The 18,010-nt window shown below is 36.2% G+C and overlaps 1 protein-coding gene across 29 annotated transcripts in view, besides 1 other annotated feature; it reads right to left on the bottom strand.

Moving 5' to 3' along the window:
* ROBO2 (roundabout guidance receptor 2) overlaps positions 1 to 18,010 on the bottom strand; it is a 1,743,290-nt gene that overhangs the window by 1,129,358 nt on the left and 595,922 nt on the right. The window lies entirely within an intron of this gene.
* Positions 3,545 to 3,714: an enhancer, noted in NCBI's record as "experimental_71246 CRE fragment used in MPRA reporter constructs". NCBI's record gives its function as "activates a minimal promoter by MPRAs in K562 erythroleukemia cells, with activity observed for both the introgressed and non-introgressed 3:76566129 variant alleles {active_cell/tissue: K562}" and the evidence as "EXISTENCE:reporter gene assay evidence [ECO:0000049][PMID:34662402]".

The following is an 18,010-nucleotide window of genomic DNA, read 5'->3' as shown; positions in this document are numbered from 1 at the left end:
GAGTTTCTTACAGAGGAAAATGAGAATTTTGACTAGATAACTTGTAAGATCCCTTCCAGCTGTAAAATCCAGTGACTATAAGCACTCTGATTCTCAGCCCACTACTCTTTATAGGATGCTATACTACTTATCATCACAGTACTAGAAATTTTTTTTGAGATGGAGTCTGGGTCTGTCACCCAGGCTGGAGTGCAGTGGCACAATCTCGGCTCACTGCATCCTCCACCTCCCAAGTTCAAGCAATTCTCCTGCCTCAGCCTCCCAAGTAACTGGGATTACATGTGCCTGCCACCACGCCCGGCTAATTTTTGTATTTTTAGTAGAGACGGGGTTTCACCATGTTGGCCAGGCTGGTATCGAACCCCTGACCTCAGGTGATCCGCCTGCCTCGGCCTCCAAAAGTGCTGGGATTACAGGCATGAGCCACTGCGCCTGGCCTGGAAATCCTTCTGATGCGATGAGGACCAATGATGCAGCTCATTGAGGGTTAATTGGAACGTGTAATAGAGAAAGGGAAGAAGGGAAGCAGCCACTCCCAGGTTCGGTGGAATCACCTGACATGGAGAGGGACTAACGAGGTATTTATATTGTGATTATAAGATAATAAGGGGTCCCTATGTGAATGAGTCCTTGGGTGCTCTGAGTCTGTTCTTAGGCTTTTCGGCTGACCTGCTTATTTGCAAAATATTCATCTCTTGATTTTCCCCCTCCATTCAAGTTGCATGGATCTTGTCAAGTGTATCAATGCATCAGAGCGCTGGGAAAAGGGAGAGACTGATTCAGATCAAAGGTACTTAAACCTGAAGCCAGAAACTTTAAGAAAAAAGGAGTCTTAAATGGAAATATATACTTTGCAATTCACTTCCTTTCCCCTCTCTATTTCTATTTTTGTCTTATATCTCTTCTAGCAAAAGGATGAGCTTCATGTCTATCATTTTGGCAGTTTCCAATGTCCTAGTATGCAAATCCCCGGGTATACAAAAGTGAGAAGCGTAAAATCTGGGAGATTGTAGTATAGGCCACAATGCTAGATATTTTCTTAGAGATGTCAAGCTAGTTTATTAAATTATCCCCTGACTGTCGTGTACCCACCTTTAACCCTCTACCTTGCTTTGCTAGGTAATTGCAGACAGAGAGTTTGGGAAGGTTTAACCATGTACATTTTAATTAATTCCTGAAATCATCAGTACATTTTTTATACCTGTGCAAATGTCTTAATTGATATCAAGAGTCAGCAAACCCCTTTTGTAAATATTTTCAGCTTTGCAATTCATACTGTCCCTGTTACAACTACTCAACTCTGCTCACGTAGTAGGAACATACATAAACAAATGGATGGCTGTGCTCCAGTAAAACTTTGTTCACAGAAATGTTGAACTTCTGACCATACATTTATGCCACAGTATTAAGCTATCATTATATGTTAAACATCACTGGATATGTAATAAGGTTTTGGAAACCTATTCCTCATGTCTGGGTTCCTCATTCCTTGCTTTGCAGTGAAATCTTACTCAACTTTCTGAGTCCAGATCAAACGTCACATCCTCTGGGAAGTTTTTCCAACCTCTTCTTCTTGTGGTCACCCCTGGCTCACAAATGAGTTAGTTTTATTCCCTCTGGTGTACAGCTATTACTTCTTAAATAGATTTTCTATTGGGTATTATGATGAGTTTGTACGTCTTTCTCCTTCAAAAAAATTTTAGGTTTTTGAGAGAAGGATAAACTGTTATTCATCTCTGATCCCTATGGCCAAAGACTGACTTTAGCTTCTAATTAAATATGTAGGAAGTGATGGCTCAACACTATGCACCAGGGAATTTAAGTTTATTGTTTTTCCGCTTTATAAGAGAATTGGATCTTTTTAAATTCAAAGAGAACATGATGACATAAATAAAATTTGCTTATTTATTTTCAAAATAACACAAATAAAGATGTGAACTACTGCCATAGCTATATATTTGTTTTTTGTAATACATAGGAAATTTAAAGAGGTAAAACCACCATATGAGCTCAGATAAAATATTACATTGCCCAACTCACCTTGCTGCTAAGTACTACAGTATGATTCATTCCTGGCCAATAAGAAGTGAGTGAAAAATGTTGTATGGAACTTTCAGAGACGCCTCTTAAAGAGACTTGACCCAGCTGGGAGGAGCACACTCTTACCTTTCCTACCTTCCTCTTTCATCTGGAATGTGGGAATCATGATGTGATTATTTTACATGGCACGCCTGTATCAAAACATCTCAGGTACCCCCAAAACATCATACCTACTATGTACCCACAATAATTAAAAATTAAGAAAAAAAATTCTAAAAAAATGATGAGTCAACTCCCAGTGGACACCTTGGAGCCAAAATACAGAAAGTGCCTGGGTCCTTCAGGTCATACTGGTGCGCTTCCATGCCTCTTGTGGACTGCCTTCTCAAAAAATTCTTTTGTGTGTCATTATTGTTTCTGTTTTCTACTACAGAAGGCTACTGGACAATATCTAACTGACACAGTGCTGTATGTTCCAATTCACATAAGTAATTACAATGTATTCTAAATCTAATGCCAATGTCTCTTTACAGAGTGTAGAAACTAAAGGAACCCCCTGATGCATGATAAAGTTTTTTTTTAATATAAAAAAAGGAATGCCTCTGGAATGATAAACATCAGAACTTTCCAAAGTGACAGTTATTAACCTTTTGTAAAATATAATTTTAAGGATAATTTAAATCTAAAATGACATGCAAAATGTGAATATGTTCTGTTCTCTGTTCTTTCCTCTCCACAAGGAGAGGAAAAGGTAGATACCCACTTTGGACAGGAGTGTATATAAGTGACTTCAAGTATATAGTCCAACCAGGCTACTGGTTTATATCCCAGATGTGTCATTTTAACTGTAGCAAGTTACTTAAACTTTAAATGGTTTTCAATTTCCCATATATAAAACAGGAATAGCAATAGCAACTGTATCAAGTTCTGGAATCATAAAATGGGTTAATTGATATAACATACTTAGGCATGATAAACATCGTTTTACATTTAGCTATTTTTTGTTTTTTGCCACCAGTTGGATTTGGGTAGAAATCCACACTCTACTGCTGCCATCTATGTGACGCTGGAAAAGTCACTTAACTTCTCTAAGGCCTCAAGCTTTTCTGATCTGGAAGATGAAGAGAAAAATATCGACCTATTAGTGCTCCTGTGAAGGTTAATTAAGATGCATGCAAAGCCACCAGGTCAGTGCCTGGCTCCTAGTAAACACTTAACAAATTGTCACTCTAACTTTTTATTTTTCCTTTTAGTTATATTAATCTTTTTTCCTCCCTTTGAACAGGCAATTCTATTGTCAGAATGAAGTGAAATTCATTCAATGGGCAGATGCACTCATTAAACACTCACATATATGTACATACATGGGTAAAAGCACTGAAATATATATTCACATGCACGCATGTCCCCAGGAAACACTGGCTTGCAATCACACTGTATGAAAATTTTATAACCGTTATATTAAAAGAAAGTCATATGATATAGATACATAATTTCATGCACTTAAACCTGTTTTTCTTTCAAAACTACCTAGATAAAAGTTAAACACATAATATTACTTAAAAGGGATCCTGTATTTCTCATCTCCATTCTTTCACTGTGCAAAATAATCGCTGTCTCTTTAGAGCAACATTCTTTTTCAAAATAAGAAGAGAAAACCTGAACATGACTTGGGGATTAAGCAATAAAACAGCTGCCTTATTACCTTCAGGGACTTGCAGATCATTCTAGAATGTCATTCTGCCTGAGAAGGTCTCCTTCTAGTAATCTTTATGCTTCTTATGAATACTGTTTTTAGGTCGGAATGCTTGTCAAATTACAGAAAATTTGATCTTAGTTCCTTCTCAAAAATTAAAAGATCAGAAAACAGAATCTCTCAGGTCTCCTTTAGTTATAATATTCTATGATTTTTTGATTCCTTAAAGAATTCATTTTCCTAGAAATGGTTGGGAGAGAGGATGCAAGAACGGAGAGTACACAAGAGAACACTGGTAAATTTTAAAATGGAGCAAGAGCCAAGTTCACAGTCCAATGACACATTGAGGAAAATCTTATAATACATTGTGTCTCTTTATTGCTACTGCCTCTTTAGTAATAAACGGGAATCTACAACTCAATACGACAATGTGTTCGGGGTCACATTTTGAACTTCAAAGAGACTAATGAAAACTTTGTGGAAGCTCTGAAAGCTGTGGGGAAGTCATAAAAAGGATACTGTCTGCACTTTGTAGATTCATTCTTGGTATGAACAGCAGCAGGTGTGGGTATGGAGGTAGGATGGGAGAAAAGAACAATTTAGGGTCATCTGCTATAGAGGGTCTTCTCACAGATTTCTGTTGCTCATAGAGTCCCAGTTATATTTTCCTACCATGAAACATACATTTATCAGCCAAAATCAAGATTGTAACAAATCTATTTCTCACTTTTTGTAAATTGCACAAATGGAATTTTGACTTTTAGGGATGTCATTCTGTTAAAGTTTTAAACATATTACAGGGAAAGGTCTAAATAAACCAAGGTCCACTAGATGTCTAAATCTAGCTTTTCGCCTCTGACTTTTTCATAGCAGGTTTATATTTTTGACTTTTCACTTTCTCTAATGCCTTGCTGCTCTCGGTACCACATGTCATCAGCCAATATATAAAACTTGTAAGTGAAGCTGGGAGAAAATGAGACATAAGTGAAGAATCGAGAGACCATACATGTTCCTTTGAAAACAGTTTAGGTTTTCTATAAGTGACAGTTGGACAAATTTTGTTCACTGAGAATGAGAAGGGAATGAACGTTTGACAGAGAGTGGGTTATCCATTCAGTGGTTTTCTTTCTAGAGTTCAACAATATTAAAGACAATAACTGTTCCTCTCCCACTGTATTAATAACAAATAACACAGTGCCAGACACAGAATAAATGCTCAATACATATTTTTATCTGTTGTTAATAAAGGAGCAAAGATATGCTTAGGCTTTATATGCAAATGTACACAATAGAGAGCAAAAGCAATGTGTACACATTTGAATGGATGAATTCAACATACCTGAGTCCTTTTATTAGTACAAAAAAAAAAAATACCTTGCAGGCGTGTAAGAAATAATGATAAGTTCCAATATCCAGTTTTGTTTTGAAAGGAGATGTACTATATTCCAGTTTCTTTTTGTGATAGTTGGGGAAAAAAAGGAAATATACATTTGAGAATAAAATAACAAATATAAAGTTAAAATAGACTTCAAAATATAGAAACAAATAACATGACTTCATTTTTTCCCTTTCACCTGAATGCTTTGTTTAATTTTAAAGATTGCTGAGCAGTAGAAAGTCAGGGAGGAAGAAGGCGAGAAGGTATATAAAGAAACTCACTTTAAAATTGGGTTAAAAAAGAACTATAGCTGCAAATTAAGGAAATCACTTATTTAAACATCTCAAACTGGAAATAGCTGGCATTTTAGAACACAGATAGTTAATCCAAGTGTTTATTATTGTAGAACAGAAGGTCAGAGAGAAACAGCACAGGGCAATTCTGAAACAAGTTATAAATGAACAAGCCATGGGAAGTGAGAGAAAAGGATTTAGGTGCTTGTATTCCTATTATTTTCTATAAAAACATTATGCAAACACCACCTCTAACTTGTGTGTGTCTCAAACCAAGGGCTAATGTGTGTGTCATTAGTCAGCAGTTGCTATTGAACAACATTATGGAAAGAAGAAAAAATGGAGGTGAACACTTCATTCAGGCAATCATGTATCTAACCTCTGAGTTTCCATAGTAATAATCAAAAATAGATTTTAAAATGTTCCCTTCATGAAGGAGAATAGGCACTGTAAGTGCATATGGTAGCTAGAGAAAGTGAGTTGAAGGTGGGATTTCAGGGAAAACTGACATTTAGAAGTGGGTTTCCAAAAAAAGAAATAAAAGTTGAAAAAGATTAAATGGAACTCCAAAGGCCTCAACAACAATAATCTAGGATTTTTTCGATAACAGAGATTAAAAGGATAATGGCAACATTTGTTCAACAATATTTTTATCTGATATCTTCATTATTATTATTTTTATAAATATTTCCAATTGAATATTGATTGGGATAATGAAGAATATCCTGAAACATTAATGAACCACAGTTACTGTGATTTTCTGAAGACTCAGCTGAATAAAGGACAATTCTCAGCTGCTTTGTGAATTTTACTAGTTTATTCTCATGTTTGGGATGGTATCTTAAGCAGTTCTTAAAGTTGGGGAGGTAGGTGAGCGCCTGGGTGGGCCCTAGGGGAGAGTGACTGACTACATGTAACATGGGGGGAGAATCTTGAACCAAATCTGATCAAACATCTAGAAATCACTCTCAGTTTATAAAAAACACAGGAAACAGAGCAACATGTGAAATGATATCATGGGGATCCAATTATCAAAATGTAGAATGTAGAGGAATAATGGGACAAATGACACACTTTTTTCAACAAGTAAATTGATGTTTAAAATAAAAGAGTGACAGGTAGATTAAAAGAGACTTAGTGACATACTGACAATACGCAATGAAGACACTAATTAAAGTACATCAATTCTAATCATATATTTATGAGACATTTGGGGAAATTTGAACACCTCATATTTGATAACATTAAAAAATGATTGTTAACATTTTTGGTAGTGTTAATGATATTATGGTTATTTTTTCAAAAAGTTCTTACATTCTAAAAATTTTAAGAGTGAAATGGTAAGACATTTGCTCATCGTTTCACTTTTACCTGAGGTTGGCCGAAGTGGGTAGGATGACAAATGAAATAAGATTGGGATAGTCTGATAGTTGTTTAAACTGGGTAGTGGACATATGGAGTTTATTATACTCATCTCTCTATTGTTTACACATTTGAAAATTTTCAAATTAAGTCAGTGTGAACTATTTAAGACAAAATTAAATAATGAAGCAATTCATAACTTTAAATTATATTCAATATTTGATTTATACTCAATTTTGCTGGTTGGCTCATTTTAAATACTCATAATAGCCAAGAGTGGTGGCTCACACCTGCAATCCCAGCACTTTGGGAGGCCACGCCAGGCGTGGTGGTGTGAGCCTGTAGACCAGCTGCTCAGGGGGCTGAGGCAGGAGAATCGCTTGAACCCAGGAAGGAGGTGGAGGTTACAGTGAGCTGAGATCACACCACTGCACTCCAGCCTGGGTGACAGAGTGAGACTCTTCCTCAGAAAAATAAAAATAAATAAATAGATAAATAAATAAATAAATACCCACAATAACCTGAACATTTGTCCTGGCATTCTGGGTAAGGCAAAGCTGAGGATTAAAAACAAGAGAGTGGTACAGAATTCAAACATAAGTTAAAACAATGTGGCCTGCCTCATCACCATGTGCCTTCCATTTTTATTTGAATAAAATTTATAGCTCTTACAATGGCTTATAAGGAATTATGATTTACCCCTTGCTACTGTTCAAATTGTCAAGAGAACTTCCTTGATCAACTTTCTAAGGTAGTAGTACCATGACTCTCCATTCCTTTATCAGACTTCACTTTTTCTTAGAGTGCTTATTTCTAAATTAAACTGTGTTATGTATTTCTGGGTTTATTTAATTTTTTCTTCCTCTAGAATGTAATATTCATGATGACGGTGTTTTGTTTTGCTCATGGCTGTTATCCCAGCCCGCGAAATGAGGTTAGCACATACGGGTTGAGGATCCCTTATCCAGAATACTTGGGACCAAACGGGTTTGGGATTTCTACATTTTTGCAGATTTTGAGATATTTGTATATACATAATGAAATATTTGAGGATGGAACCCAAGTCTAAACATGAAATTTATTTATATTTCATATCCATTTATACACATAGCCTGAGGTAATTTTATAAAATATTTTAAACAATTTTGTGCCTGAAAGAAAGTGTGTGTACATTGAACAATCAGAAAGGAAAGGCACCACTGCCTCTGCCACCCGGGTGTGCTGTCTGTGGGTGTTTGACATCACCCTTTTTCCTGACTGAATTTACAGGCTACTGAGAAGCAGTAAGCAATCATTTCCTTATACTTATTCACAGCTAAGTGCAGAACAGTAAAAAATACCATAATAGAGTGAAAAAATTATGTGTTCAGAGTAACTAACAGCACAGTAGCATCGCCAGAATACCTGTATCTGCTGTTAAACAACAGCAACAGCTGACAATGGCAGGCTTTCAGTCTCTATGTGTGATGCTGTGTTTTGATTAAAGAGTTAAAGTACACTATATATATATATATACATATATATATATAAATTTCTGCAACCAGTCCATTTATTCCATATATATATATAAGTAAATTAGTAAGTTCCATATATATATATTTAAGGAAACATCAAAAGTTATTGAGAGACCAGGAAGGAGATTCTCTAGAGATAAGGAGAGATTTTTCAGGAAGGCTTTTAAAAATGTTTCTCCCAGAGTCATCTGCCTCATTAACAATGTTTTTTTGTTTGTTTTAGAAGTCTCTCTTTGATTTTATAAACTGACATGATGTTTTGTTCTGTTATGGATACATACTGCTCTTGTCCTTCAGTAAGCCCACCACACATTTTTGTCATGTCATCTATAGGCACTTTTCAGGCACTGTTAACATGGTCATTATGGTCATGCTCAACTTGATTCACAACCATTTTGGCTATTTCACAATCAGGCAATAAATGAACAACTGGATCCTCATTACCAATGTTAAAAACTCCTGTGATACCCACTTCTTCCCACTTACTGATGGGCTCCGAAGGTATCTGTTTTGCATATGAAAGGAAGTCAGATATAATTTTTCTCTCATTTGACATACAAACTCCTTTAAAGTTATACTTTGTTCATTATCTTCTGTGAACATAAAGGCAGGCCAGAGGTTGTATCAGGCATGCACAACTATTTTTAGTAGCTGTGTTCCCAGCATTGGCAATAGCATATATGGCATCCTTCATGCTAAACTCCTTTTGAAAACCTCCCACACTCATGCCTCTGTTCACGGAGGCTAGTACACTGTTCAAAAAAGTGTTTTATGTTTACTTTATTTGATCTAAAGATATCCTGGTCACATGGTTGTATTAATAAAGCCACATTTTGGGAAAAATATATGGCATAAATATTTTGATGAGAATTTCAGCTGAAGGATGAGCAGAACAGTTAGAAAGGAATGACAATATTTTGCAGTCATCATCCAGTCGCTGCGGTGAGCACAAGTCACTGGTACAAAATGTTTGTGAAACCAATAAGAAAAATGTCTCTGGTGACCTATGCTTTTTATTAGCATAACAATGAACTGGAAAGAAATTCACTATTTGAAAATAGTAAGGACGCAAAATTTTGCATATCACAGCAAGTTTATACTTAACTTGTGCCTGACACGGTAGCACAGGCCAGCACAGTTATCTGTCCCTGGCATTCTTAATTCCTGTAGAGGGTGTCTCGTCAGCTGCATTCAGTGTCTTTCGGGGGCAGTAATACCAAAACAGTGATAGTTCATCAGCATTAGAGACTTGTTCTAGTGTCAGATTTTCATTAGTGATGACCTTGGCAAACTTGTCAATACTTTGCCGATTCATGATCAGCAGATGTTTTATCATCACAAATCTTTAAAACTTTAATACTGTGTCTTTTCTTAAATTTCTGCAACCATTCCATTTGTTCCCTTCAGTTTTCAGTTTCTTGTGATAGATCTTTGCTTGCTTCATAATCAGCATATCATTAGGTGGCATGTGTTCATTGAGAAGCTAAAGAATCCATTCTTTCAATATACAGTCAAGATCTTCATTTATAGTTTTATGCAGTGTTTTTCTGTTTTTCATTAATTTCTTCCTGTATTTCATTTATTTTATTTTTTATTTTTTTGAGACAGAGTCTTGCTCTGTTGCCCAGGCTGGAGTGCAGTGGAAGGATCTCACCCACTGCAATCTCCGCCTCCCAGGTTCAAGTAATTCTCCTGCCTCAGCCTCCCAAGTAGCTGGGACTAAAGGTGCCTGCCACCACATCTGGCTAATTTGTGCATTTTTGGTAGAGATGGGATTTTGCCATGTTGGCCAGACTGGTCTCAAGCTCCTGATCTCAGGTGATCCACCCACCTCGGCTTCGCAAAGTGCTGGGATTACAGACGTGAGCCACTGCCCCCAGCCATATTTTTCATTAACTTCTATTCATCACTTTCAGCATAGAACTTCAACAGTTTATCCTTCCATTTCCTCAGGTTGTATATGGTGGTCACTCTAACGCCATGCTTTTCTATAAGACATTTCACACTTACATCACTGTCCAGTTTCTCCAGCAGCCTGATTTTGTGTGTTATAGATGAACATAAATGCTTACCCTTTTTCTTATCACTGTCAGTCATAGGGATATCTTCAGGCCTTTTTTGACATTTTTCAACAATATTCTTTCACCACAAAGTAGAGAATAAGCAAGAAATCACAGTGAGTAATGCATGCACGTCTTGTTCTCATGTAGGGCATCATAGGGAATCTACCCTTGGCATGTCCAGCCTGCACATGTGCCATTTTATTACCCTTTGTGGGTGTGCTTGTTTAGGGAATCTGGGCATGTGCAGAAAAGACGTATTGCACCTGAATGGGCCTGGGAGAGTCTATATTCGCCTTGGGGACATTGAATAAACTGTGTGTGTGTGTGAGCCTGTATTTTGATTGTGACCCATCACATGAGGTCAGGTGTAGAATTTTCTACTCGTCGTATAATTTTGGCACTCAAAAAGTTTCAGATTTTGGAGCATTTCAAATTTTGAATTTTTAGGTTAAAGGTGCTCAACCTGAGTGAGGCATTAATTAAATACTTGCCTAAACAAATTGTGAAATTTAAAGAAAAGTATTCATGGCAGATGTTTACCTGGGCTTTGCTGGAATAATTCTTGTGAGGAGGCACTCACAGCTTCGTGGAGCGTGACTTCCGTTGCTGGACAGCAGCAACTGTTGGAAAGCGTTGCCTCAACACTAGGCCGAATGTCTCTTGTTCCACTTTCCACTCACGGCTCTTGATTCTCTCTACAGGTACCATGTAAACATGCTACCATCTGCCATTGAATAAGGAGAAGCTTCCTTTCTTAGTAAAAATTCGACCAAGGGTGACCTTTTGCTTAGAGTTCCAGGGCTGCATGTTAATGTTTATCTGGGACCATAAGCAGTTATCATCAAGGCTAAGCTGCCACCCAGAAGAGCTGCCAAAACCAAGTCGGGCACTCATGGAATCTCTGCCTCTTTCTCTCTCTCTGGCTCTGCTCCACCAGGGGTGAGTAAAATTTATCACCAAAACGTTCAAACAGAATGGGTGTGATTGAATATCTTCTTTCTCAGAGAGTGGGGCTGCCTGCAACTGAGAGTCAGCTGTTTTAACAGAAGGAGCCCTAAAATGGCACCACCTTGGCCCCACCCCTTCTTTTACTAGAAAAACTACCTTTTTCTACAAAGGTAACTTTCTAAGAATAACAAAGGTAGTTTCCTGATAGTAATCTTATTAGAGACAAGAAAAACAAACACAGAAACAAAACTCCCAAACCCAATTCACTATATGGGCATGTATATAACTTTGATAAGGGCTTCAATAGAAATAGTAGAGCTTCTTCAGATTCACATATCTACATATGCATTGTATAATATAAAAAAGGATCATTTGGTTCAATGGATAAAGAATCCAGACAGAATCAATATGACCTAGGTTAGAAATCCTGCACTAACTTACTATATTAATGAAATCAAAGCAGTGTAATAAAAAGTAATTCACTGAGAGTTCATATAAACAGTACATTTTGAAAAGAATTACTGAGATGCTTTGTCTTATAATGAACTGCCAGAATGTTTTGAATCTTTTTAAATATTTGGAGGGATGATATGATAAGCCTCAAGTTTTTTGAGTGGTAGCAAGCTATATTTGCTTCAGCAACTTATTGCATAAGAAAAATATATGTCGATCCAAGGATATCTCAGGATTACTACATTTGTACTAAAATAAATAGATTAATGATTATTTTTAAACATAGATATGGATGTTTCCTCCACCTACTTAATGTTTCTTAAAATAACATTCTTAATAATTTTTCATTAGTAAAGCAGACAAATATTCACTGTCACAAGAACGAGGAAAGGAGAAAATAGATTGAGTAGGTCCAAATTGTTGCAAGGAATGTATTATATATTTAATCTTATTTTTTTTCACAACAGCCTCCAAACAGGTATACTGTCTTTATTTTACAAATAGGGAAATTCAATTAAGGAATGCAGTTCATGTTGCCAATGGTTAAAAGAATAATTAATGGTGAATTTAAATTTGAACGTAGTTCTAATTAGTTTCACATAATTTGTTGCCACATTTAGGGGAATACTAAAAATGATCATTTTAGGGACAGCATGTTAAAGGTTTTAAGAAAATCAGAAGTAACTAAAATTAACAATGACAAGTTTGTGTACATGTATTTATATATGCTTTATTTTGATGAATGGAAAGTCACACCGTACTTGAAATTGTGTAGGTATCATGGATCTCTATTATGCTACATAAAAACATGTATTTTATTTCATATGATTTTACTTTAGATAAGTGACATACATATACATATATAAAGAGGAAGACATCCTGAGGAGTGTTCATTATACAACCCTTTGTAAATTATTCCTCCTGGAGTGCTGTGTGCTATTGAATGTTTGAAACATATGTCCTCATGACTTTGATTTCCTATGAAAGAGACAGATCAGAGAGTTGTTTTCCTAAAACTAGAGGACTCTAGAGAAGAGTGGTAGAAAGAACGGATTGTAGAACCAGACTAGGATCGTGTTTTTATCATGTGCTTGGTATATGGTACATGACCTTTATGAGTTAATCTACACTAAGTAAAAAATGGTTTCTCCTTTTGTGAAATATGGGTAATGACAGTACTTATCTCGTAGGGTTGTTGTGAGGATTATATCAGTTAATATATGCAAAACACTTAAAATATTGTCTGGTATGTATTGTGCTATTGTTACTGTTAAGCTCTTTTATAGCTGGTTCTAAAGATTCCATTCTAATAGAATGAAGAGGCATTCTCTGTAAAGGGAACTTCAGTATTACAATTTCTGCAAGTATTAGATTTAACATTCTCTGTCTCCAAACACCAGACTCTTCTTTGAAAACCAAGAACTATGTTTACTTTATTAATAAACGTTTTTCTTATAAAGAACTCATAAGTTCATATTTAGTAATTACATAAAGAAGTGAGGGTTATATAGCTAGAATAATCTTTAAAATTATAAAACCTAATCAAATTTCATAAATAAACTCATATTCATTGTGTTATTTGTATTTAGATTTTTTCAAAAATTTAAAACTTATTATCTTCATGCATTTTCAAACAGGAATCTATTTCCATTAAATAATTCTCTTTTGATATAAAATATTTAAGTACCTTTAATTTATGCCCTGTACGAATTTCTAATTTATGTTGATTGTAACTATTTCGTTAATTTATGAATCAGTAAAAGCCATGTAAACATGTAACTCAAGATTTAGTTCACAGCAAACAATCAACATTATTAAATTGTTACAATTGATACTAATATTTCTGAGAGAAGACTCCAATTTTAAATTCATATATTTTTATAGAAAGTTCATAAACTTAACATCATAACTTTTATTAGAAGATTTTGACTAAGATTGTCAAAAATAAAAATAAGCCAGCTGATTCTTTATTTTTAGGTATATTTTAAGGAACAAACACATTCAGTTTTATTTTGATTCCACATTCAGTCTTACCTTCACTCACTCATTCATGAATCAGGGATCACTCCTCCTTGAACAAGCCTCCATGTTCTAAGGAACAGATTGTATTTTATGTTTAGCTGTTTTCAGGTTGCCAGGGTACGCTAACAGTGATTTGTAAAAGAATATCATAAGCACCATCTTGTCTGATAAAATGAGGACAAGACACATACATAAATTATAAATCACAATATCTTATTAAATCTCTAATGAAGGTACAAAGAATAAGGGAAATAAAGACAGAAAAAATAATGCAATGAGGAGCATTGGGGAAGCCTTCATGAGGCAAAGCAGCACTTGAATTAGTCCTTGAATAACTGGAATGGGGTTTTGGTTACTTGAGAACAAAATAAAACAGCACAAATTAATATCCAGGGGCAAGAAAACGAAGGATACATTGAAGGATGACATGTAATCTAGTGTAGCTGGAACATTGGTGCCACTCGGGCACAGCACAATATAGACTAGAAGATTAGGTAGAGGTCAAAATGCAATCTTGGAAACAGAAAGCAGCCCTCACAGGACACTTTTACTGCTGGCAACTCGATCTTGGACTTCCCAGACTCCAGAATCATGAGTAATAAATTTCTATGGTGTATATATTTTTTAAAAGCAAGATATTACATTGTAAAAGATATGTGTGCCCAGCTGAAGAATATGGAGTTTCCCTTTGTAAGTAAAAGGAATTCACCGAGGGCTGTTGAACTAGACAGAGACGCTGGCAGAGCTGTTTCAGGGGGATAATGGTGATGTCAGTGAAGAATGCAGGTGCTCATATTCAGGTGAGTCAGTATCTCTATTTTTTGCAGTTCCTTCATCAGTGCTTTTCAAAATGGAGTTTCTGTTTATGTGACTTACTATCATAGCTCCAAGGTGTTACCTACAAATGTGTAAGTGTATAAAATATAAATATTCATTTACTTTCACTGGACTGAAAAAAACTTTTGTGACTCTTTCTTTTATGGATGACATACTGTATTAGTTTCCTGGGGGACAGTAACAAAAAGCCGTAAAATGGGTAGCCTAAGGCAACAGAAATATATTCTCTCTTGTTCCTGGAGTCTGAAATCAAGGTGTTGACAGGGTCAAGGCTCTAGGGGAAAAAATGTTTCTTGGCTCTTTCTAGCTTCTTGTGGTTGCCTGCAATCCATGATGTCTTTTGCCTTGTAGATGCCTCATTCCAATTTCTGTCTGTCATTCCCTCTGTCAGTGGGTAGAACACCCGTTTCTGTGTCTGTGTTTCTACTTCTCATCTTACAAGGATACAGCTATATTGGAGTTAGGGTCCACCCTACCGCAGTATGACCTCATCTTAACTTGAGTACATATGCAAAAACCCTGTTTCCAAATAAGATCACATTCACAGGTGCCAGCAGTTGGCACTTGAACATACCCTCTTGGAGGTCACAGTGCAGCCCACAACACATACTAATAGCATTTTTTTTTTTTTAAATGCTGAACTATCTTTAGCTGCTAGTGGTTAGTGTGGCCAAGGAAGCCAGAGCTCCTAATTGAGGAAACAACCGATGGTTTTTGCCTGGTTGTTCCAGAAAATCTAACTAATCTGTGCTGCATTTTACCAAAAGATCAAATCATCAGTCGTACTCCTTTTATTAATTGATCTAAATGTGATTTTGTTTAGGTAGTTAGTCATAATCCAGGAAAGGATCCTTAATTACATTTTTCAAAAATAATTCTCAACTTTATATTGATACTGTTTTTTTCAAATCTAAGGTGTCTTCAATTTCTTCTTTCTCTCCTTTTCAATAATTGTTTATCCCATTTGCCCACACTGCTCATTTACCACATACAAAAATAAAGCTTAGTGTCAACAGCAAACATAATAAATGTGTGTGGTTTTCCATCTTCTAAGCCAATGATGAAATTTGAAACAATATGAACTCTTGGCACCCCAAAATGAAGACTATCATCAATAGCCTAACGCTAGCGGCTAGACCTGCAAACTGTTTTCACAGTTTAAAGAATATTTTCGGCTGGGTGCGGTGGCTCAGGCCTGTAATCCCAGCCCTTTGGGAGGCCAAGGTGGGTGGCTCACGAGGTCAGGAGATCAAGACCATCCTGGCTAACACGGTGAAACCCCGTCTCTACTAAAAATACAAAAAAATTAGCTGGGCGTGGTGGCAGTGCCTGTAGTCCCAGCTACTCGGGAGGCTGAGGCAGGAGAATGGCGTGAACCCAGGAGGCAGAGGTTGCAATGAGCTGAGATTGCACCACTGCACTCCAGCCTGGGCACAGAGCGAGACTCCGTCTCAAAAAAAAAAAAAAAAAAAAAAAAAAAAGAGTATTTTCTAAGCTTACTGATGAACATTTAGTGAAGGAATAACCAGAAATTTTGTTAAATTATGCCTACCAAATTTCAATTTACTAGAACTGTCCCTCTCAAGAAAGAATTAGTCTGACGGATCTCATAGTTCTTCACGGTCATTAGGCGCTGGCCGTTGCTTTCTGCATCATTTTCTGTCTCTCACTTTCTAAACAAACGTATGGCTTTTATCAAGTCACAGTGAGTGTTTTTGCGGAAGAGGCAGTGCACTCATGAAAGTGTACAACTGCATAGTGAACATGACCAACGTCGTACAAAACCTCTATTTTACATATATTTTTTAAAGTGTTCTCAGTGGCCAAACATTGTAAAACAAAGTTTTTGTTATGCGTATTTTTCATTACATACTGTGCCACCCATAATTTAAATCATTGTCGTTTGCTAGGTTAGTGGATGAAGAGAGAAAATGATATAAAAAAAGGACTATTCTGTTTACAAATCATGGCAAATCATAATCATTCATTTTACACGAGAAAGAGCAAATCTGAGCTTAACTCTAGTTATCTACATAATGATTTTCATGACACATTTGAATGCAGAAAGAAAAGAGTAATGAAAACCAGACACGTTCAGTGAATTATTTGAAAGCCAAACTTTTAAAAACAGGTCTCTTGGCTGTGTTTCTCCTACCTAACTTAAATTTTGCGTACTTTAACCAACATCTCCCCTATAACCTCACCTCCCACCATCCACTAATCACCGTTTGACTCTCTGTTTTCATGATCTTCAACTTTTTAATATTCTACATGTAAGTGAGATTGAGAGGTAGTTTTCTTTCTGTGCCTGGCTTATTTCACTTAACATAATATGTTCCAGGTTCATCTGTGTTGTCACGAAATTTTCTTTTTGTAATAAGGCTGACTAGTACTCCATTGGGAATATATACCACATTTTCTATATTTATTCATCTGTTGATGGACACTTAGGTTAATTTCATATCTTGGTTATTGTGAATAATGCTGCAATGAACATGGGAGTTCAAACATCTTTTCAGTATACCGATACTTTTTCCTTTGAATATATACCCAGTAGTGAGATCATATGGACTTGTGATGCTAATACTGAGTTTATCAACTTGATTGTATTGAGGGATACAAAGTATTAATTCTGGGTGTTTCAGTGTGGGTGTTGCCAAAAGAGATTAACATTTGAGTCAGTGGGCTGGGGAAGGCAGATCCACCGTTATTCTGGTGGGCGCTAACTAACCAGCTTCCCGCGAATATAAAGCAGGCAGAAAAACATGAAAAGGAGAGACGGGCCTAGCCTCCCAGCCTACATCTTTCTCCCATGCTGGATGCTTCCTGCCCTCAAATATTGAACTCCAGGTTCTTCAGTTTTGGGACTTGGACTGGGTCTCCTTGCTCCTCAGCCTGCAGACAGCCTATTGTGGGACTTTGTGATCATGTAAGTTAATACTTAATAACTCCCCTTTGCACACACACATGCGTGCGCGCGCACACACACACACACACACATATATATATATATCCTGTTAGTTCTGTCCCTCTAAGAGAACCCTGACTACTACATGGTTGTTCCATGAAAGCTAAAATTTTTAATGAGACTTTTAGATAATATATTGCAATAAATCATCTACATTTTTCTTGCCAAGTTTGCTGTTGTTCAGGGGTTGGTTTAATTCCTTTTGTTTTTTTCTCTTGTTTAAAAGACCTATAGACATATCAAATAAAGGATTTGATATTCTTTATAATTAACTATGCCACCGTGTTCAAATCATCACAAGATTTCACATTTTAACTCAAAGGATAAATACTTAAGGGGATGGATATCCCATTCTTCATGATGTGCTTATTTCACATTGCATGCCTATATCAAAACATCTCATGAAGCCCATAAATACGTACACTTGCTATGTATC

The sequence above is a fragment of the Homo sapiens genome, chromosome 3 (assembly GCF_000001405.40).
Source record: "Homo sapiens chromosome 3, GRCh38.p14 Primary Assembly".
Taxonomy (NCBI): domain Eukaryota; kingdom Metazoa; phylum Chordata; class Mammalia; order Primates; family Hominidae; genus Homo; species Homo sapiens.
This window is presented reverse-complemented; position numbering and strand designations above follow the sequence as displayed.